Below are 23,432 nucleotides of genomic sequence, written 5' to 3' on the forward strand. Positions count from 1 at the left end.
TAGGGATAATATTACCTACCTCATAAAACCATTGTCGAGACCCATCTATTCAGCACATACTTGAGTTCCTATTCAAATACCGGCTGCTGTGCTTGGCTGTGGAGTCTAACTGCACAAAATGGTCTTGACCCTGAGGGTTTTATAGTTTGAGAGTGGATATACCAAAGTGCCTGGCTGTGATTATTATATTGTGATATAATAATAAATACATATTTGGTCTCTGCCCCCAGTTCTAATATTTAGTCTGTGAACCCAGTTCCTGGCAGACAGCATCTAAGAGCTTTGTAATTTCCTGAGTGACGGGAACATCTGACACAGAGCTCCGAAATCCCTTGGTATTTCCTGGCTGATAGGAGCATCTTTTGCTCTAATGAGTTGACTTGTGCTGGGCTCCTGGATACCCCCAGGATGGGTGCTGGTTTCCAGGGGAATCAACCATGTATTTTTAGAAGGTTGGGGCTTTCATCATCCACCCCACCTCCAGGGAGGAAAGGGAGGCTGAAGACTGAGTTGATCACCAACGGTCAGTGAGATACTCAATCGTGCCTATGTAACAAAGCCTCCATGATAACCCCAAAGGACAGGGGTTAAAGGGCTTCCAGGTTGCTGAACCCATGGAGGTTTCTGGAGGGTGGTGTGCCCACAGAGGGCATGGAAGCTCTGCATACCTTTCCACATACCTTTCCCTATGCATCTCTTGGTGTGACTGTTCATCTATACTCTTTGTAATATTCTTTATAATAAATGCGTAAATATAAGTAAAGTGTTTTCCTGAGCACTTCTGTGAGTCACTGTAGCAAATTAATAGAAGTCAAAGAGGGGGTTGTGGGAACTCCAATTTATAGTGGGTCAGTCAGAAGCACAGGCCACAACCTGGGCCTTGTGACTGGCATCTGAAGTAGGGGACAGTCTTGGAGGACCTGTGGGATGTGGCTTTATCTCCAGGTAGATATTACTGAATTGAATTGAATCAGAGGATTACCCGCTGGTGTCCACTGAAGAATGGCTTGATGTATTGGGGAAAAACCCACTCATACTTGGTGTCAAAACTGTTGAGTGGTGTGTGACAGTAGGTAAAACATTTTGTTTTTTTTTCTATCCTTCATATTGGCCCAGAGAGCTTATTTAATAAATATCTCATTCATTTCTTTTTTCTTATCCATTATACCGTAGGCTCAGCTGAAAACATCGTTCATGACCCACCTGAATGCACAGTAGGGTACTTAGAAAGTACTGCATGGTTAGCAGACAGCTCTGTAGGGAGTCGGAACAGCCACGCAGTAGAGTCTTGGAAGCAGAAGAGAGTAAGGCACAGAGACCCCGAATGAGGGCCGAGTGTGGACATCCACATCACAGCTCCACCCATGACTAGTCACAGGAACAGAGACAGTCGACTTGCCTCTCACTCTCTGCCTCAGTTTCCTCACCTGCATGATGGAGACGATAATGGTACACAATTCTAAGGTGGTTGTGAGGATTACACGAGCTGGTGGTGTTGCGATTCTGAGGTGGTTGTGAGGATTACACGAGCTGGTAGTGTGTGTCAGGTGCTCAGAACAATGCGTGGAACATGGAAAACACTCCCTACATGGGAGATATTATTTCCATGTTCAGAAACAAGCTGGTTTCATTAAAGCCCACTGCTCTCAAAAGGCAATTCCCATGGGAATAGTGATGACTTGAAATTCTGTATCAAAATGCTGGTGGATGCTGCTTCGTTTGTAGTTTCTTTTCTTTTCCAGTCTCCACAGGGCTCTGTTATTTGGATCCTCTACCATGAAGAACAGTGCCCCTAATCGTAGACTATCACTTTGTTGGCCACTGTGTGTTGTCCACCCATTATACTGTGAGGTCTCAACAGCTTTAATTTCAATAATTTGAGGTTTGTTCAATGCATTATATTCCAGATAGTTCACGGATGCTTTTAATTTAATTATAGGCACTTTAACACCACAGATGACTGTTGGGGAAACGGAAAATGTCATTCTTTCTGAATGCAAGACACGTGTTTAGGACTGATAAAATACATAACTGTGTTTTATTTCAGAATAAAAAGAAATGTATTACCAAGTATGTGACAGTAGGTAGACTGCTGGGAAGCCTGGGTCTGATACATTGTTGTCAGAAACAGGCTCAATTTTGGTGAAGCGAAGGGTGTACGGAGGATGAGCCTTGCAAACAAGCTAAGGTGCCCAAAGGACAGCTCCCCCAGTGACCTCAGGGTCAGCCTCTCTCTTACGTACATACAAGGAGCCCCTCCTGGAAGCAAACCCCACTGCAGCCTTCCAACAGGCACATCCTTGTTCTTCCCACTATCTTATTATTTGTAGCAGCAATTATTCATTGCCATCTGAATTCACTCAGTAAATATTTATTGAGTACCCTGTATGTGTAGGTAGTGGTGATACAGCAGTGGACACACAGACAAAAATCCCTACTCTGAAGGAGCTTATATTCCGGGGGGAAAAAGAGAGGAAAATAAGTAAAATGTGTGCTGGTTTTGTGCATGAAGATGGCAAAGGCTATGGAGAAATCAAGGAGGATAGAGTTGGGGAGGAACAGTTGTAACTTCCATAGTGTGGGTGGAGAAGGCCTCACTGAGGCATCAACATTTGAGCTAAGTCTTGAAAGAGGCAAAGGAATGAAAGAGGTGCCAGGCCAAGGTAATAGTTCCTATAAAAATCCTGAGAATGGAGAGTGCCTGGTGTGTCTGAGGAAGCCCAAGGAGGTCATCATGGAGTGAGGGGGAGATAATAGAAGATGAACTTCAAAAACGAAGATGTGAAAAATTGCATTGATCCTTGTAGTCCATTTGGAAGGGTTTAGATGTTTTATCATCACCGTCGTCACCATCATCACTACCACCTGCTAGAAACTTCGGGGGGCGGGGGGTGGGGGGGAATGACTCATCATCTCATCTCTGCACTCCTGAAGCTCCAACTCAGCACAGGATACAACGAAAGGATAATGTGATGCTTGGTACCAAGACTTTAAGGACATTCAGGAGCGGACAGAAAACATGACCTAAAAGAGAGGGAAAAACAGAGACTTTTTACAGGGTCTCCCTTAGGAAAGGGAGCTATCCCTTAGGAGGAGATATCTAAGCCACTATGCAGTTGTGAGGTCTTTAGAAATCAACCAAGTGCATTGGTCAGATTGAGGCTAAGTTTTCCAACACAGAGAACCCTGAAGTCCCATTCTGTACTTTGTCTTGACTCTCCTTTCATTTCTCTTTATCACTCTTCGCCCCCCACTGCAGGTACCTGTTCCTTTTTCTGACCATGTCTCTGGACTTGGAGAAGGTTTTCTCTCATAAGCTTCTATCCAGCCCTACACCCAGTGGCCATACAGGTCCACCCCTCTGTATGGCTCTGTGCATTAATGAGCAGCTCTTCTTAGCTCAGCGTGCTCACTGTCTTTAGGAATGGTTTCTGCTGAATCCATTGACTGCACAATAAGCCCAGTGGAATGTGTACTCTAGGCCCCAGTTACCTCCAAGGAGAAGGGATGATAAATATAACAGTGACAAAATACTCTCATACACACAGAAATATATAGTTACACTTAAATGCACACACATATATACATACAAATATAGAGTGGGTGCAGTGGCTCACACCTGTAACTCCAGCACTTTGGGAGGCCGAGGTGGGTGGATCACCTGAGGTCAGGAGTTCAAGACCAGCCTGGCCAAAATGATGAAACCCTGTCTTTGCTAAAAATACAAAAAAACAGCCAGGTGTGGTGGTGCACACCTGTAGTCCCAGCTACTCAGGAGGCTGAGGTGGGAGAATCACTTGAACTCAGGAGGCAGAGGTTGCTGTAAGCCACAGTCACACCACTGCACTTCAGCCTGGGCCACAGAGTGAGACTCCATCTCAAAAAATCAAATGAAAAACCACATATAGTTATATATAAAAGCATGCACGCATGCATGAATATACCTATACATATACATCTATGTTTACATACAAATGCATGCATACATGCACATATGCACACACCTATAATTATAAATGCATGTATATATATATATGTATGTATACACACATACATTTTTATAGAAATGCATAGGTATACACATGTATAGAGTTGTAGATGTATGCACATATTTGCATGCATACATACATGACTATACGCACAATGCACACATGTTTATATATGAATGTATTCACTCATACATGTATGGTTGTGTGTGTGTGTGTGTGTGTGTGTTTTGGGAAGACTAATTACTCCAGGAGATTTACATGTAGTTTCCCTTCTTAAGTAGATCACAACCCTGCTCTGCATTTGCTGCCATTGTTTCTGTTACGTAGATGAGGAATTTGAGTCTCTAAAACTTGAAGTTGCCCGGCCAAGGTCACGTAGCTAGTAAGTTGTGAAGCTGATATTCAAACTAAGGACTAAAAGATAAAAAAGACCACTTTCTTCCAATGCTTAAAAGATGTTAACAGAAAGAGAGCAAAGCAACAACAAGAAAGAAGGAACCCTAAGTATGTTCATCGAGCTACTCACAGAAAACAGAAAATATGATTACAACATAAAGTGATAATTTCCATAAAAGAAAAAGTTACATGAGCACATACAAGAGGGAATAACATTTGAGGAATCTCTTGAAGGATGGGTAGGAGTTTTTTAGAAAGGGGTGGGGAAGCAAAAAGATTTTGCTTTTCATTTAAAGTTATGATAGCCAACATTTACCTTTTAGAGGTGCTCAAAAGGCCCACTGTACCTTTGGCTTCATAGCTGTAGAAATCGGGCATTTTCCAAAAAAAAGGCAGTGACGGTGCCTCACATCTGGCCACAGGCATCTCTCGGCAGCATGCAGGTCATCTAGGGCAAGTCTCTGTAAAGGCCTTTCTCTCTGGTGTTGCATTTGCGTATTCATATGTCTGCATACAAACACCAAGTCTGCTGTTAGTGGTGTCATAACTTTGCAAAAGGAAGAAAACATGGCTAACGGTAAAATGAGTTATGCCTTTATAAAACATTTTCAATGACAGAACTTGCTCCCCTCTGAGTGCTTTTTGAGGATCAGTAATCATAAACTGTGGCTTTGCCAGGAGGTGCTGTCGAAGATTGTGTGGACATTCTTTCAGCAAAATCATCTGGCATGTGTGATTGCTTCTATTTATTCAATACTAAAGAACAGAAGATTGAGTTTTATGAGAGAGAGAAAAATGCACATTCCACATAGAGATTGGATAAATTTCATTGTTTAGAGTGTTTTTATTGCCACAAAGTAATCTTCTGATTGCTAGGTGAGTAATCCTGTAGTTACAAAAACAATCAATTAATTGATCTAAATTAATCGGATAACATATTTTAGCCTGCTAAGCATGAAGGCATATTTCAAGTAACTTTCCAGATAAAGGAGGTATTGAACCTTTTCAGCCACCAGCCAGGGACAGTGACACAGATTCTAGTATCAAATGCTGATTCTCAAATTAACAAATGCTGGAATTACTATGAGAAAGGCATGGACTAGGGAGTCATGAAGTCCTCCCCCTTTTGTTATACAGGAAGCTTCTAAGCTGCCTGTCCCACTGTTCCTCCAGCTCTTTTGTCCCAGGCTTGGCCCTACTGGGAAGGAGACTTCCCTAACTTCTGGGCTACCCCTCCCTTTCCCTACCTCTAGCCACACTGTGTTTCAGGGAGGGCAACATGGGAGACAGAGGAAATTAAGACACCTGCATGAAAGTTGACAGAGTTACCCAAGAGGAGATGCCACTGGGCAGGGACTGGAGAGCACTCAAGGGAAGGGAGGCAAGTCCGTCCTTTCTCCTCCTTTCTTCTTCAAAATGTATTGAATGCCTATGCTTTTCCAGGCAGTTTTTAGGCACTTGGAATACATCAATGAATAAATACGGCAAAGATCCCTATGCTTGTAGAACTGACATTCTAGCAGAAGAGACAACTAATATATAAATAAGTCACATAGTATTTTAGAAGGTGATATATGCAATGGGAATAGAAAAAGCAGAGCCGAATGAGGGCTAGATGGATGCTGGGATCCTAGGTGGAGCAACTGGCTACTGTTAAAATTTATCTGAGAAGTGGTTCCGAGAGACAGCGGCAGCAGTAGAGGAGAACACAGCAGTCAGACGAGCCAGGAGGGTTCCTGGCTGTTCCCTGCACATGTCATTAATGTGAACACTCACCAGCATCTCTTAGCTCCTTCATCTTTAAAACAGGGATAAGGATATCTGCAATGTGGGGAAGTGGGAATGATTAAATATCATTGATTTGTTTTTACTGCTCCTCTTTAAAATGACAGCATCACCACAAAGGAGATGAAATAGTCAATAGTGAATGGAAAGCACCAAGCACAGAGACTGGCACACAATGGGTACTGAGTACACGTTTACGTTGGTACTCATAAAAGACCAGGAAGAGCTTATATGTGGTGCCCTGGTAATGCCTCAGATACTGTTCTAAATGCTTCATGGATATTAGCACATTTAATCCTTACAACCCTTTGGGGTAGGAACTAATTTATGTCCATTTTACAGGTAATGAAACTGAGGCACAGAGAATTTAAGTAACCTCCCCACAGTTTTATAATTGGTTAGTGGTGGAGGCAGGATTTGAACACAGGCATCCTGCTTCTGGAACTGCACTGCAGTTATTTTTAGAGCCCAGGCTATGGAAAGAAACCATTCATTTATTCACGGAACACATTTTTATTGATTATCTGCTACATGACAGGTCTGTGATCAGCACTAAGGCTATAGAAATGAAAGACATAGACAGGGTTCCTCCCCCAAAACATTCTTGATGTAAATGTGAGACTCACACTATAACCACCCTAAGGATTTTGGTCTGAAAAGACATTCTTTATTAAGGATTATACATTTATGTCCTGGATTTCCTAGATCTGGCCCTGAAGGTAAATATTCCATTTTCTTATTGGAGTATAACAACCAACGTTTGACTGCAAAAAATGTGGTAGATTATTTTCATTCATATGAATATGCCTGCCCTTTTCTCTGGTGGAGTCTGGCCCGGTAAGTCTGTGGGACCTGCCTCTACCAATGAGGGGTAGAGCTTGGTGACTTTTAACAATGATCTCCTCATTAGATGAGGCCATCAGTTACAGCGGAAATGATCATTATTGGAAAGCTGGAGACCAGCTGCTGTCAGAGAGGGATGGGCTCCTGTGGAAGCTTGCAAACTGATGACTACTTAATCCTTGAACTTCAGCAGCAACAACATTAGCTGAAGGTCTGTAATGCATTCACAGTTCTCATCTGACATTTTCCCCACATCATTATTTTTCTGGTTTTACTTTTAAATTCCCTATAGGACCATTGACATGAAATTCTGAGGGGGAATTTGGAACATTAATGACTGTTTAAGGCAAATGAGTAAGTGTTCTTTCCAAGAGGAAATTGTCTTTATAATATTGGCATAAGGCTATTTTTAAAATTTATACTAATGAGACGATTCGAGGCAGATAACTGAATTTCCCAGGCTTGAAGTTGGCCTATGCCCCTTGGTGAATTCAGCCTTAGGGTGAGCTCTGTGGGGCCTTGCAAGTCTGGCTCTAGATGCAAGAGATCTGCCCTATCCACATTCCTTCTTTCCATAATTGGTTAGAGCCTTGACCATTCAAACCTGGGCTTGGATGTTGGGCTTACAAGTGGCACAGACAGTCATGGAGCTTGCTGACTACAAGGGAAGAAAGACTTTATCAAATAACACTACTTATGGATGTCTCAACTACAAACATGAATCAATGACTTGAAAGAAGGAGAGTAATATTCCCTGACCTTAAACAATAAAGGACTATGACCCTGTTTGGGGACTGGGGATGGTCATTGAGGGCTCCCCTAAAAATAAATACTTGCTCTGAACCTCAAATGAAGTGTAGGATTTAGAAAGGCAAGGGGCCAGGTGAAAGAAAATGGTTTCAGGAGGAGGGAAGAACAAGGGCTTGAAGGAATGTATGGTCCCCTTGGACCATCTATGCTTCCTAATCCTGGGGATTGCACCTCCAGTGATATAAGAATGTGTGGCAAAGGGAACCAGGTTCCTCACTGACTTTGTTCCCATCCATAGAACCAAAAGGGTCTTCCTTAGTAATGCCTATGGCTATTGGGTATTGAGTTCTTACTACAGGATAGACCCTGCTCCAAGGACTTTGTGTGAATTAACTTATTTGACCTCGACAGACATTTGCCTCACCCCACTGAAACAAGTGACATTAACAGCAATCAAAAGATTACCCGGGGACACAAGGCTATGTAATACAGCAATATATGCAATATAAAAAAATAAATAAAACTTGAATGCTTCCAAATGTCTATCAAAAGAACACAGGTTGAATAAACAATGGAATGTCTACACAAATGAGTACTGTGGAGCTCTAAAAGGGAATGAGGAATAGGGCTATAGGCTATTTGGGATAATGTTCGGATATATTTTTAAGGTAGAAAAAGTAAGATGGAGAAAATTGTGTGTTATATTACTGCCTGTCTTTGAGGGGATGCACATTCACATACAAATTTACTTTTTTAAAAAATAAAAGTTAGGTTAAATCATTTTTTTAAAAAAATAGTTACTGTTCCAGTTATCTTTTTTCTTTGTATAAACAGGGTCTCATTCTGTCACTCAGGCTGGAGTGCAGTGGTGCGATCAAAGCTCACTGTAGCCTTCACCTTCTGCTCAAGAGATCCTCCTGCCTTAGCCTTCTGAATAGCTGAGACTACAGGTGTGCACCGCCACACCTGGCTAATTTTTAATTTTTCTGTAGAAATTGGGTCTCCCTGTGTTACCCAGGTTAGTCTTGAACTTCTGGGCTCAAGCCATCCTCCCACCTTGGCCTCCCAAAGTGCTGAGATTATAGGCATAAGCCACCATGCCCAGTCTATCTACTTATTTTGAAGCAAATTAGTGCCTTAAAATGTCAACACCATTTTATTATCGTCTCTCACAGTGTAGGGATTGTCTGGGCTCCGCTAGGTGGATCTCAGGGTTTCTGATGGGCTTGCAGTCAGTGGCCGAGGCTGGAGTCATCTGGAAGTGCGCTCGCTCATAGACCTGGGTGTGGAACAGAGAGACAAACCTCTGAGGGTTGAGGCTGGAACTGCTAAGGCTGCCTTGACATCTCTCTATGGTCTCTGCAGCACCAAGGCTTACAGGTAGCTGTATGTTTTACAAGTTGGCCTGAGGCTCCAAAGATGCCTATTCCAAGAGAGAGGCTGGACAAGCTGTACTACCTTTTATGACTTAGTGTCAGAAGGCACACAGTGTCACCTTTGCCACATTTCTTTTTTTCTTGGCAGATAATAAGGCCCACCCAGGTTCAAGAAAAGTGGGGCAGCAGGGGAAGGGGATGGACTTTACCTCCTAGTGAGAAGATGATAAGGTCTGGAAGAGGAGGTATGGCAAAAAATATTGCTGTGGCCGTTACTAGAATATATAATCTGACGCAGTTACCTAAAGTGAAAAGCGTGAAATAAAGGCTGAAGAGATAGGGAAAAAAAGTACATTTAAAAAAAAAGTTGTTTCATGAATTTGAAAACAAAATGAAATAAAAAGCCTATTCTAAAATTCAAAAGTCAGAGAAACAATTGAACCTAAGTGTGTACTCAAGATGCTGGCATAACCACTTGATAGGAACTACCCCTAGTTATTTTAAAACGCAGTTATTTGACTCTGTCCATTAAAGACAATTGAAAACCAAAAACCAAAACAACTGCAAAGGGAAATCTTAAAGTATTTTCAATAATACTGCTTTTGGAGGTAGTGTTGGTATATTTATTGTTATATAAAATATAGTATAATATTGTGTGTATTGAAAGATAAATGTATATGTTAATTTGGAGAACTAGAATATTGAAGTATGGGAGGAAGAAGATGCAGATATAAGACCAGCGAGATTAATTTAAAATGCTAGAGAATTGGAAGTGGGATTATACATATGAATTTATTAGGTGTTTTATCTTAGAAATTCATGTATTCTCTTTCTACTAAAAAGCCCTAGAAACAGTGACCAACCCAATAGCAATAAACTTCCTTAGCAAATAGATTATGGTCACTAGTGATCATTTTCTAGCAAAAGAAACCAAGCTGTCTTGAGAAAATGATTGAGTTTATATTTGAGGCAGGAAATAAACAAGAAGAATCTGTAAAATCTTGTCATACCAAGAAGCAGAGAGGCTATGAGATGTCATTAGGGTCATGTCATTTAAAGAAGCCAGTATGAGTAGCTCAAAGATGAGATAATTTGAGCCTCAAAACAAAATAAGTGATTTCAATGGATTTAAATACACTAAATCTGTTTAAATACATAAGTTCATAATGATAGGGGAAAACAAAATTATTTATAGGTTACCTTACAAAGATGATAGAAACCATCTCATTATTTTAGAAACGGAAAGGAAAAAAAAACATAAACAACTATCCTGCCTTTGTTTTCAGAATTCCTTGTAGAAATAATTAACTAGTGGATGAAGAGAGTTTCTCTTTCTAGGTAATAAGCAACGAAAAAATGGCAGAATTAGAATATAATGAATTTGCAGTTCTTACTAAATTAATATATCTAGGCAGTAACCATCAATAAAAAGAAAGACCATATGACATTTGTATGTCCTGAAGTAAGTTCACAACGCCATCTAGTCTTGAGCCAAAAATACTGCACCTGAATCTGATCCAGCCTCCAGGATGTATCTATTTATAGGAAACACAGTGGACAGGCGAACATGTTAAATGACACCACAGAGATGCAATCTGCGAACTTCCACTGTGGAAACAATCCAAATGATTCAACACGATGTTGCAAAGACAAAAGAATTATACATGAACAGGAGGCTGGATGAATTAAAAAACATAAGAGATGTATCAATCATAATCTTTGGTTCTAATTTGGATTCTGATTTAAAAATAGACTGCAAAAAAATTTGTTAGAATAATATGAACAAAGACTAGATGTTTGCTGCCATTTAGAAATTCTCATTAGTATTTGTTCAGTTATGATAATGCATGCTGCTTCTGTTAAAAAAATACTTTTAATCTTTTACAGATACCTTCTAAATATTTATAGATGAAATCATATGATATCTAGAATTTTCTTTAAGACAATCTGTGGAAGGGGTGAGTGGATGTGTGCTCAGGTGAGCTAATGGTAGCCATGAGTTTAATATTGAGGTTGAGCGATGGATACAGAGAAGTTCATCATACGAATCTCTCCACTTTGATGTTTTCTTGAACTCTCCAATACTAAAAATTTAGCCAAAAAAATTAACAGGGGCAACGAACTTTCTTCTTTTTCCAAGGGCTTTTTATCGATGATTTTAAGAAAATGGTCAGACAGCGCAGGCGTGTTTTACCTTAGTCCTTCCAAAGCAGTAAGGTGCACCCACTTCTCAGCCACCCTCCCTGACTTTGTTTTCACAACCCGAATTCACCAGGAAAATACCAGGAGTCTGCTTTGTATTGTGCCATCTTTTAAATAATGCCTCACTTTCTAGTAGCAAAGTACCTCATTCTTTTTCTTGATACTTCAAAAAAACAAAATGAAACAAGAACTTCTCATTAGCTGAAAGTGTTTTTATCTAGTGAGAACTGAAATCTTCTTGGCTTATTTCCTCTTAGATCTAAACAATATTAACTTTTTTTTTTTTTTTTTTCCCAAACAGAGTCTCCCTCTGTTGCCCCGGCTGGAGTGACTGCAGTGGCACGATCTTGGCTCACTGCAACCTCCACCTCCTGGGTTCAGGGAATTCTCCTGCCTCAGCCTCCCAAATAGCTGGGATTACAAGCATGCACCACCATGCCCGGCTAATTTTTTGTGTTATTAGTAGAGATGGGGTTTCACCATGTTGGCCAGGATGGTCTCAATTTCCTGAGCTCAGGTGATCCACCTGCCTCAGCCTCCCACAGTGCGAGGATTACAGGCGCAAGCCACTGTGCCCAGCCTTAACAATTTTTTTTTGTTTGTTTTTGAGGCAAACTCTGACTCTGACACCAGGCTGGAGTGCAGTGGTGCGATCTTGGCTCACTGCAACCTCTGCCTCCTGGGTTCAAGTGATTCCCCTGCCTCACCCTCCCAAGTAGCTGGGACTACACACGCACCCCACCACACCGAGCTAATTTTTTGTATTTTTTTAGTAGAGTCGGGGTTTCACCATGTTGGCCAGGATGGTCTTGATCTCCTGACCTCATGATCTGCCCACCTCAGCCTCCCAAAGTGCTGGAATTACAGGCTTGAGCCACCGCGTCTGGCCCAACAAATATTTTTAAGATGCATTGTCTACTAACAGGAGATGCCTCTGATTCTGAAGTACTTTGCGATAAACAGCCACACAATAGCCAAATGAAATCTTGAAATCAGAGGGTTGCTTTCTCATGAAGTTAGACTGCTTGAGAATTGCAGTGGCTTCTATATGGCAGGTGCTTAAATTGTCCAAGTTGAAATTCTAATTTTTATAATGAGTAGGGATGAGTGCATGAAATGGTTGTGTGTTTTTTTATTTCCTACATACAATATCGAATTCAATCCCAAACTTGAAGCATTGATGTAATTGAAACATGTTGGTAATTTTAAATCGTGCAGTTCTGTACATGATCAGAATCCTAATCATTATTAAAATAGGTGTTTCTATTATATGCATATGTATAAAAAGTCCTCCAAAATGTTAAATTACCTTTCTCATCTCAGGAATAGAGTCCCAATCACTTCCAGATTGAAGCACTTACGGGGGGAAAAGGCGAAGGGCTCCAGTAATTTTAAATTGCTTCGTACAATGAAGAGTGCCTGTAAATTACTGAATGTGGTAATTTGTTCCATAAGCTTTTTTGATTTGTAAGTAACTTAGTGGATTTGCTGGTGAAACAGTTTGGCAGGTTCCTCAGATAATTTAGAGATATTGAGCATAGACATCTAAATGTGATTAAAATGTGGTATTAGCAGACATTGACCACAGGAAGGGTGAGGCAGGTTTTCAAGTTACAGCAGCTAGAGAAGCTGAGAAAGACTACAGTCGACTCTCAGGGGACTTGGGAAAGGTACTAAGAATGCACAATTGAGCTAATTACAGGAAAATGCCACACGGCTGGCTTTGGAAGAATTCATCCAGCCCCTGGCATGTTTTGCTTATCCTCTGCCTGATGATAAAATAGGGGTTATTTCTATCAGTGGACACATTTGGCCCATATCTTAATTCAGGCAACACAGCCTTAGCCTTGTTCTGCTAGTGCTAATTATTTTTTTGAAAAATAATACTGTTAATATAGTAAAATGTAGTTGTTGGACTCTTAGAAATGGATAAAGTTTAGGTTTGTAATTTCCCAGACAGAGAGAGAGTGGCATAAGCATCGTGTGAATTCCCTTCTAATAGGATGTCTTCATCTTTACTATTTTGCATAATAATGTATTGTTTGGCCATAAGAGGGATTTAGGTACTGGATCTAGAGGCATTGGGTGTCTTTAAGGTATGAAGGGGTCAAGCAAATGTCTGCCACTCACAGAGTGAGGGAGGTGGAGCCAGAGGTTCTGAACAAAGAACCTCACCAAATGATGGGGAGAGGCTGTGATGCATTTCATGAGGCAGTGATGATGTGAGTCTTGGGCTCTGTAAGTGAGGGTGCATAGAAGAGTAGGTCCCGCCCTTTTTAGGAGTATACTGTGGACTAGAGTCAATCTGTAGACAAAGCTAGGCTAACTTCCTACTGGGCAACGTCTGACCCCTTTCATCTTTGACCTCAAGAAAGTCACTATTGTTGGTAAAGTGAGGAAGGACATGGAACCTCTGGGGAGAATCTGACCTAAAATGGCTTCATAAAGATTCTCAGCATGAATGCCCTTTTTTACTTGATGAAAATAGACCTGATAGTGGTTGGGTTATTTGAGCAGAACAATAATGGTAAAGGGAAAATAGTAGTGAGATTTATGGTGTAGGATGGTCAGATGTGGTATGAGTATGACACGGAGCCAGAAGTGCCTGGTCATTCACTGATTTGTCACACTAATGGAGTTAGAATACTCTACCTTGCAAGGCAGAGTAGGAGTAGAGTATCCAGTCATCCTGGTTTGCCCAATTCTGTCCCACTTTTGACACAGAGAGTCTCACACTCCGGGAAACCTCTCAGTTCTAGACAAACAGAGACAGTTGGTCATCCTATTATGAGAGGTTAGAGAGGAAGCACTTTCTGGATGGGTTGAGTCTGATAGGCTCTGTTGTATTTGATTAGACAGCTTTCTATGAGATCAAGGTTTTCAATACCATCACAGAACCATTTCTGGAGCTGTGTTGAGGAAGAGAGGGCAAGGGTTAGAGAAAAGCTTGGGCCGCAGCATTGCCTCTGCCATGAAGACTCTTTACGTCTGTTTCACACACAGTCAGCCCTTCGTATCCACAGGCTCCACATCTGCGGATTCAATGAACTATGGATCAAAAGTATCCTCTGGCCGAGTGTGGTGGCTCACGCCTGTAATCCCAAGACTTTGGGAGGCCAAGGCAAACAGATGACTTGAGGCCAGGAGTTCAATACTAGCCTGGCCAACATAGTGAAACCCCAATTCACTAAAAATAGAAACCTCAGCTAGGAGTGTTGGCGGGCACCTGTAATCCCACCTAATCCCAGCTACTCAGGTGGCTGAGGCATGAGAATTGCTTGATCCCGGGAGGCAGAGGTTGCAGTGAGATCACACCACTGCACTCCAGCCTGGGCAACAGAATGAGGGCCTGTCTAAAATAAAAATAAAAATAGATGTGTTTGTGTGTGTGTGTGTGTGTATATATATATATGTATACACAAACATATATATATACATATATACACACACACATTCAAAGAAAAAATAATACAAATAAAAATACAGTACAACTATTTTCATAGCATTTACATTCTATTAGGTATTATATAAGTAATCTAGAAATAATTTAAAGTATACAGGAGGATATGTATAGATTATATGCGAATACTATGCCATTTTACATAGGGTATTTTGGTATTTGAGAAAAATCCTGGAATCAGTCCCTCACAGATACCAAGGGACAATTGTGCTAACCTTTTAGATAAAGTTTCATAGACCAGAGACTTCCACAGTGAACACAAGATTAGATACCTTAGGCTAGAGCGATGGGTTTTAGAAAAAAGGTGGACACATGGAATTCATGGATATGAAACAATACATTGTCCAGAAGTAAGGGTGGTCCATGGAGACTGGTTGGAGTGGGGTGGGAGAACCTTTTCTTCATCAGAGTCAAGTCATTCTGGGTTGGCAATATATATACATGAGTGGACTGGAGAGACTGAGGAGGCACAAGTCGAGGAGGAACACATCTTTTATTTTGACTTAATTTTCTTTTTATCCCCTCTCCTTCTACCCCAGGGTTCTTCTCCGTGTGGATCACATTAAGGGAGCGTATAACCTTTCATACCGCCTGACTAGGATGATGGATGTGGAAATACACAGTTTGGGAGCCCTGTCTGCTTGCCTGTTAAGCCATTGACTGTTATATACTCTTGGGCTTGAAACACCTTCCAGGCTGGAGGGGCCAGTATTGCATTTACTTTTATCCCATTTCTGTTTTCACGGCTACCCAAGAGGAAATAATTTGATTTGGGGCTGCAGGGGGTAGGGTGGAAAAGTGCAGTCGGAAGACAGAGAAAATCAGCAAGAAGATTACTGAAAGGGAAAGAGGGGGAAACCAACCAGCTATATATTTCCTGCAACATGAGTTAATGAAATTCCGTTCCTTCTTACACAGCTGTATTCGGTTTGTTTTACATTGTTTGGTATGTGAAAGGATTTGGCTTTGCGTTACAGAACTAATTGCTTACTAGATATTACATGGATATCAAAATACTTTATAAATATTAATTAATCTTCACCTAATTCCCTGGCAAGCACAAATAACCAGTGGCATATTTATTGAATGTGTAAGCAATAATCTGATTCTTAAAGATTTGTTTTCTCTGCTGAAGCTTTCTCATCATTTCCATTTGTCAAAATGCCTCATCTCCTTTGAGGACCATATCAGATGGTACTTCCATAACAATTGTTAGGAAAATAGTAATAAAGACGATGTTTAGAGTAACCAACATTATTATTTGCTGAACTTTCTTCCTTTGCCAAGCTCTTGAGTAAACATTTCATAGATATATCTCATTTAATCCTACAGCAGTCCTACAATAAAAATGTTATTGTTACTACTTTTTTTTCCCCCAGATGAGGGAGCAAAGTTTTTGAAAGCTGAATGGTGGCAGGGCTGGGATCCATAGCCCATTCTGTCCACGTGTGAAACTTATAATAAAAGCCACTATCTTGCCCCTTTTCTGATTCACACTACAGGGAGGACACTTGGTACTTATCAATAACTCCATTCATTTATCTATTCAAAAATATGTGTTTGAATGCAAGTACTATTAGAGGTACTGTGCTAGGCTCTGTTATGACATACCTGGTGTTGACTCTTGAGTAGGGATTACAGAGTTGAGCATCTTTTCTCTCCTGAGATTCATCATGGTCCCCATGGGCAGTGAACAGTGTTGTTGTCACACTATGAAATGGGTATAGTGCCTGGCACAATGACCATTTCTTGAACAAATGGGGAGTGATACAGTGAAAGTAAAAAGAGGATCTACAGTGTCGTTTGCTTGTGAATGGTGAGGGGTGGGAGCGCTTAGAAGATGTAAGGATGTGCTCTCTTCTTTCCTCACACTCATCTTATTTGTAATGACATTAATTTGTGTTCTTACCTGCTCAGTGTCTTCTCAGTTTGACATGCCATGATGGCATGGACTATGTCTGTTTCTTCTAGCGCTTCATAGCTGTATTGACACATGTTTGTTGAATAGACCAATACCTTGTTTTATGCATAAAAGAAGGCCAGTAAAAATAGTCTTACATGCATATTACCATGACCGTGAAAATAATCCCACCCTGGGCATAGCCTGGCTCTTGTTTGAAATGTGTGGTACTTCTATGTGACAAGATATAGAATAAGTCATTGGAAGAAAAACTGTCCTATTACTATATTTTATATAAAAGTGTATCTTGTGTTATAATGGGCCTGGTATACAGAGGGTGCTTAGCAAATCTTCCGCAGAGCTGAAACTGAGCTGAAGCTACGGCCCCCTTCTCTGCTTGCTCTCCTTTATTCTCTAGAGTGCTGCTTCCCAATGCGTGGTCCATGGACCAAGCAGCTTCAGCATCACCTGAGCACTTGTCAGAAATGCAGCACCTAGGCGCCGCACCAGACCTGTTGAATAGGAATCTACATTTTCACAAGATTCCAGATGATTTGCATACACAGTGGCATTTGAGAAGCATTAATCCAGGGGCTTCTTTGCAGTCAGTGATGGTGATTTGCCAATCATTAGCATTTCAGAAACCCCAGGCCGAAACCATACATTTATCCTTAGCTAGGTCGGTATCAAGTTTCTCTGCTTTCATCCAGAATCCTAACAATTCAGCTTGGTTGATTATCTAAGAAGCTTCTATTTGATAATTATATATCTTTCATTTTTTTTAAAGTGCTGGGGGTTGGGAGATCCTGGGAAATGGCATAACTATTGCTTAATAAATGCAGTTTGCTTGGAAGACCAAAATCTTTCAAGTAATGAGAAGCAGCAAAGGAAACAACTCCAACAATGACACAAAGATTTCCTGACAATAAAGGGGCTGAGGTGAGGACCCCAGCTGTGGACCACACTACCCGAAGAGAACCAACAACCAAATCAATATCCAAAAAATAACAATAACGTCCAGGTCATTTCACTTATGAGACAGAAGAGGTAAAACAAATTCTCAGATACAAATATTTCTGCTGCTCCACATTGTTCCATGGGGCCAGGATTGTGAAGTCAATCTTCCTAATGATTAATGGAATTTCTCACCTTTTGTTCAAATGACTTGGCCCCTTTGGTTTTTAAATGACATCTAAGGGCAAAACAGACCCAAGACTTTGTGGAATGACTTTCCAGGAAACAACCATATCTAGGTAAACCCATGCTCACAGGTTCCCTCTGTTAATGGTGAAATTACATCAAGGATGACCTTTTGAAAGAATAAAACTCATTATCACATGGAATATGATAGCTGTAAAAGAGCAACGCTTGGAAGCCAAAGCAAAGTCCCGCATATGATAAATTAATTAGAATAGAAGTTACATAAAACCTCGACCTTCTGTGTGACCCTTATCTTATAATTACCTCTTCTTTAAAAGCAGAATGAAATATTTTATGTATGAAGATGTTACTGTTGACCCTAAATGCATTAAGAGTCAAGGAGACATTTTTCACGTATTGAAAATAAGATTTGATTGAGTGCTTGCAAGTGGCCTAGTGAAATCTCATTAAACCACTGTTTAATACTTTATAAATGGCAGAATATTAACCATTAATTATGAACATGAAACCAGTTTGAAAATAAGTTTTGCAATATCTAAGCTTGATTTTCAACCCTTATTAATGCATTGTCTTTTTCATAGTTTTCAGTGTTTTACAGCAAGTAGGTACTTACGACTTAGGTGTGACTTTTCATCTCTTCTTCCTCCTCCTCCTTCTCTCCTTCCTCCTTCTCATCCTCCTTATTGTGTTGCTCTACCAACATGGTTGTAAAAATCTGGATGAAAATAAGAAAATACAGTCTATTAAACATAGTTATAGGCTGTCACTATCCACAGTTATAATTAGATTTATAAATCATGTGCAAGATTCCCAGCAAAAAAAAAAAAATGAATCTTAAACATTCTTTTCAACTATTATCACCCCAAAATGAAACAAAACAAAATATAGCAACGATATGAAATTGTTTCAGTAACATTGCCATGTTACAGTAAGCTTTTGCATCTGGATCAGTCAGCCTGGTACAAATAACTGTATATTCTGAAATGTAAATAGATAAAAAGATAATGACCTTCTTGAGCATCTACTGGGTGACAATCGTTGAAATAGTATCTGAATTTAACTGCACCAAGGAACATAGGCAGATTTTGATTCAGATGACAGCTTCCATTATTTGGCAGCAGATGCTTAAGAGGCTGCTTTGGGAGGATTCTGATGTTGGATCCAGCCTACATCATAGAACTGCAGCCATGGATTAGCAATATGTGTTATGTGAGTGAGCTGCAAAAATATGCCACAAAATTCCCATCTTACAGTTATACCTTTTTACCCTGAAATGAGTCAGTGTGTTATGGTAACATTCCCAGATGGCAGACAGAAGGAGAGCCAATGTGAGAGACCAGTGAACTCAGACCCGTCTCCCAAGAGCCTTGTGTAAGTCATCTAAAAAACAAATGTTTCGGATATTCAGGGTTTTCTGATTTCAAATGTGTTCATACCATGAATAATTGTGTAGCACTATCTTACTGTGTGCTGAGGACATTAATGTGCTTCTTCTTTCATCCTTCGAATGATCCTGCAAAATAATTCTCACTGACATTTTCGTGGAGGTATCCAACTTCAGCTCTTATGGAAAAGAAAGTGCCTCTGTGGAAGTTGCATAGATAGTAAATTGTGGCGTGGGGACTCAAAGCCAGGTTTGCTTGACTTCACAGTCTAAATTCAACCCAGGAACCCAACAGCCTGTTGCTGTGTGATTCTGATCCCCATGAATTCACTATGTTGTCAAATGCTGAGTTTGCAAAGCATGGTCTGAGTGCTTCCCTTCTGGACCTCCCTTAACCATTCCAGGGCTTTCCATTGCTTGTGCAGTTAATGAAGATGGAAAATGATTCCCTTCCCTCCCGCTCTGTTCTTCCATCTGTCCAGGTAATAGCCTAATGTCAACCTAGTGACTTCATGGCATCTGTTTTCAATCTACTGCCTCCTTGTCTGGAATTCTCAGGGGACACTTAAGCCAGAACTGGGGTTGAAGGAAGCCCTGGCTCTGTGCAAGTCCACAGTACAGCAGCTACTGGGGAGGGAAAACGGTGTGTGGCTACGCTGAGGGTTTCTTCCTGGTTGATGCGATTATAATGTGAAAAGATCGACATGTGAGCCCAGAGCAGATGCATAATAATGCTACTGCATTTTGTATTTAACAAAACCCCTTTCTCGAGAAATGTATTACTTACCTTGTGGGTGGGGAATTGTCTCTGAACCCAATCAGGTTAGTCACTGGCCCATGACTATCTCATTTTTAATAAATAATAATTTTCTCAATTCAGCGCTAGCCAGCTCATCTGCTTTCAAAAGATAAGATATGATTGCTTTGTATTTTTTATATTAATAACCCTCAGCATGAGAGGATTAACTCTTGATGCACTAAAGGCAAACTACCGGACCCTGGGAGATCCATTTCTTCTCACCAGATAGGCTGACACATCTTTCAGATGAATTTAAAGGTCAACGCCTTGTGCATGAAAAGCAGGGGCCTGCATTAGATGGCTGAGCTCTAGTCAATTCTTGGTCATTTGTACTGAAACAGAGGCAAGAGAGAGATTTCAAAACCACCACGAGGAGGCCCCTAAACATGCAGGCATTTCTTTCCTTTATCTGTCGATTCAAAGAGCATCTATTCAGGGCCAAGAAGGAGATCAGGTTTATCTGACTTAGTCATACAGCCATAAGAAAGTTTCCCCCTCTAAAAAAAAGAAAAGAGAAAAAATAAAGAGGTGCCTTCCATTGGTGAAGCGTAGTCATTCAGAACACAAGCTTTGCAGCCACCCACAGCCCACAGCCCACAGCCCACAGCCACTGTGGGTCGAGTTATACTTTGCCTCTTAGCAGCTGACCAGCTTTGGGTCTGAGCCTGTTTCTTCACAGTGGTCAGCCCCCTTGTCTGCCTGATAAATGTCTGTCTGCTCACGCACTTGGCTCCGCAGAAGTGAGCTTGCTGGGTCCATGGGGATATTCACTGGAGATTTTGCACAATATTATGCTCTGGAAAGGGGTCTGCAAACTCTGATCTGAGGGCCAAATCCAGCCTGCCACTTGTGTGTGGACAACTAGCAAGCTAAAATGGTTTTTACATTTTTAAGTGGTTGCATCTTAAATGCTTATATAATGGCTACATAAAATCCTTAATTTTGCCTCTTGGCCCACAAAACCTAACATATTTACTACTGGCTCTTTAAGAAAATGTTTGCTCAGGCCTGCTCTGGAGTCCTCAAAGCCACATATATAATTTTAAATTTTCTGATAGCTCTGCTAAAAGAAGTAAAAAGAAACAGGTGACGTTAATTGTAGTGTGTTTTCTTTAACCCAATATATTCAAGTAGTATCCCTGCAACGTGTAGGTAATATAGAAATTGCGAATGAAATATTTTACATTCTTTTTTCATACCACGTCTTTAAAATCCAGTGTGCATTTTGCACTTAACAGCACCTCTTAATTTGGACTCACCACATTTCAGGGGTTTAACAGGCACATGTGACCGGTGGCTGCCGCATTGGACAGTGGCAGCTCTAGAGAGCTGGAACCAATTTATGCTCCTTCTGACATTCACAGGGAATGCTCCGTATAAATCTTGGTCTCTTCTTCCTTTTTAAGGTCACATAGCACCTGGATTTAAACTCCAAAGCTACCCCAATTTTAGCTGGAGGGACCATATTCCAAGCTGCAAATATTGTACCCACCCAGCAAATTTCCTGGGATGTGCTTCCTGGGGAAAGTGAATTCAGTTGCTGTAGCCCTTGATTTGATAAAATGCTCCTCTTTCTGGCCTTACCCTTGCTCAATCATTTCCAATTCCGCTGCTGGTTATTTAACACGCCAGGGGCAGTAGGTGCATACAGTCCTATGCTCCCAGCTTATGAGGAAATGCTCTGTCCCTCCACAGGCTTGATCAGCGGCCTCCCTGCTCCTGTTCTCTAGATAGAAGTTTCCCTAGTTTTGCTGGTCTCAACTCATGCACAGGAGGAAGCCAGAAGTGCCCTGCTGTGATGATCAATCCATATGCATGTTTGCCTCCAGCAAACCAAGGACATTTAATTCTTGGCCAGAGTCTCATCAGCTCCATCAGTCTATGACAATAAAATGAATGTATGTCTTGATCACACCAGGAAGTCTCTGCTACCAACACCCCCAGGAGAAAACAGCTCCAGGCTCTTGAGGCTCCTCAAGTAGCAAAGTCTCATCGCTCAGGTCTCGCATGTCAGAATTTGCCATGATTCACTCACAGCATGTGTCATGTGTATCTGGTAGAATGTCTGAAATGCATTCTTCCCATATGGCTTTTCAGGGCCCTAAGTGTGAATATGAACTTTGCATGTGAAAGATGCTTCATTTTGCATTTTGTTTGCTTGTTTTTGTTTTTTTGAGATGGAGTTTCACTCTTGTTGCCCAGACTGGAGTGCATTGGCGCCCAGGCTGGAGTGCAGTGGCGCGATCTCGGCTCACTGCAACCTCCACCTCCTGGGTTCAAGCGATTCTCCTCCCTTAGCTTCCCAAGTAGCTGGGATTACAGGTGCCCACCACCACGCCCAGTTATTTTTCTGTATTTTTAGTAGAGACTGGGTTTCGCCATGTTAAGCAGGCTGGTCTTGAACTCCTGACCTCAGGTGATCCACCCGCCTTGGCCTCCCAAAGTGCTAGGATTACAGGCATGAGCCGCTGTGCCTGGCCAAGACGTAATTATTAAAATTAACAATGTTCATCTCAGTATACTGCCTAAAATTACGTGATATGCCAAAGTGGGTGTATGTATCCCACTTTGAGGAATACTGATGAGAAAGGATGTTAGGCCTACAGAGATCTTCATCTTCAGAAGAGCACAGATAAGTTCTGGTATAATGGAAATGACAGCGTCTTGGCATTTTTTACTGCTGCCTTCAAACAGCAGACATCACAGCCCACGATGATGAGCCTGCTGATGCCGACTTCCTGCATTCTGTGGTACACCTGGGCTCAGCTTAGAAAGGCTCTACCCCAACTCATACTTCTTCATGGCAAGATGAGGTGAATTCATTTCTACCCATAGTCATTCTAATCTGCATTTTCATAACCCACCTTTCCATTCTCCAAGTGTGACTTTCATTTTTAGGACAGAGTTATTCAGTCGGTGAATATGCAGTCCCTTTAAAGGGATATTTATCACCCTTGAAGAATCTTATTGCCAAATCTTAATAGTCTTTCTTATAACAAAGGCTCAAATTCACTATCAAGATTAAGAGGTGGAGCTTGAATGAGCTTTGCTGGAGCATCTCATGATAAAATAGATTAAAGTCTTAAAATGGGCAACCCATCGAGGTGGAAGTCAAACAAATATGCAAAAGCGTCCCTGTATTTTCCTCAGGCAGTTTGGGCACTGTGGGTGAGCCCAGAGGGTGAATGGTGGGAAGTGGGAGTTAGGCCACGTGGATTTTCCCTCAGGCTCAGCGGGGTGACCTCCCATGAGAAGCTGAAACTATCTTAATTACTTTGTCTGTAAAATAGTGGTGGTGAGCATGGGGAGAGCTTGCCTACCTCAGAGGCTTGTGGTGAGGATTACGGGGAAAAGTCCATGTAAAGTGCTCCCCCCTGGTTTCTGGCA

The 23,432-nt window shown here is 41.2% G+C and overlaps 1 protein-coding gene and 1 long non-coding RNA gene across 9 annotated transcripts in view; both read left to right on the top strand.

The window, feature by feature from the left end:
* Window positions 1-15,714, top strand: part of LOC101928446 (uncharacterized) — a 56,320-nt gene extending 40,606 nt beyond the window's left edge. Inside the window, exons 2-3 of the long non-coding RNA NR_110938.1 lie at window positions 9,288-12,779; window positions 15,341-15,714. This is a non-coding gene — a long non-coding RNA (uncharacterized LOC101928446). The remainder of the gene's footprint in view (window positions 1-9,287; window positions 12,780-15,340) is intronic.
* Window positions 1-23,432, top strand: part of CDH13 (cadherin 13) — a 1,173,672-nt gene that overhangs the window by 186,956 nt on the left and 963,284 nt on the right. The gene's annotated exons all lie outside the window — the stretch shown is intronic.

The sequence above is a fragment of the Homo sapiens genome, chromosome 16 (genome assembly GCF_000001405.40).
Source record: "Homo sapiens chromosome 16, GRCh38.p14 Primary Assembly".
NCBI lineage: Eukaryota > Metazoa > Chordata > Mammalia > Primates > Hominidae > Homo > Homo sapiens.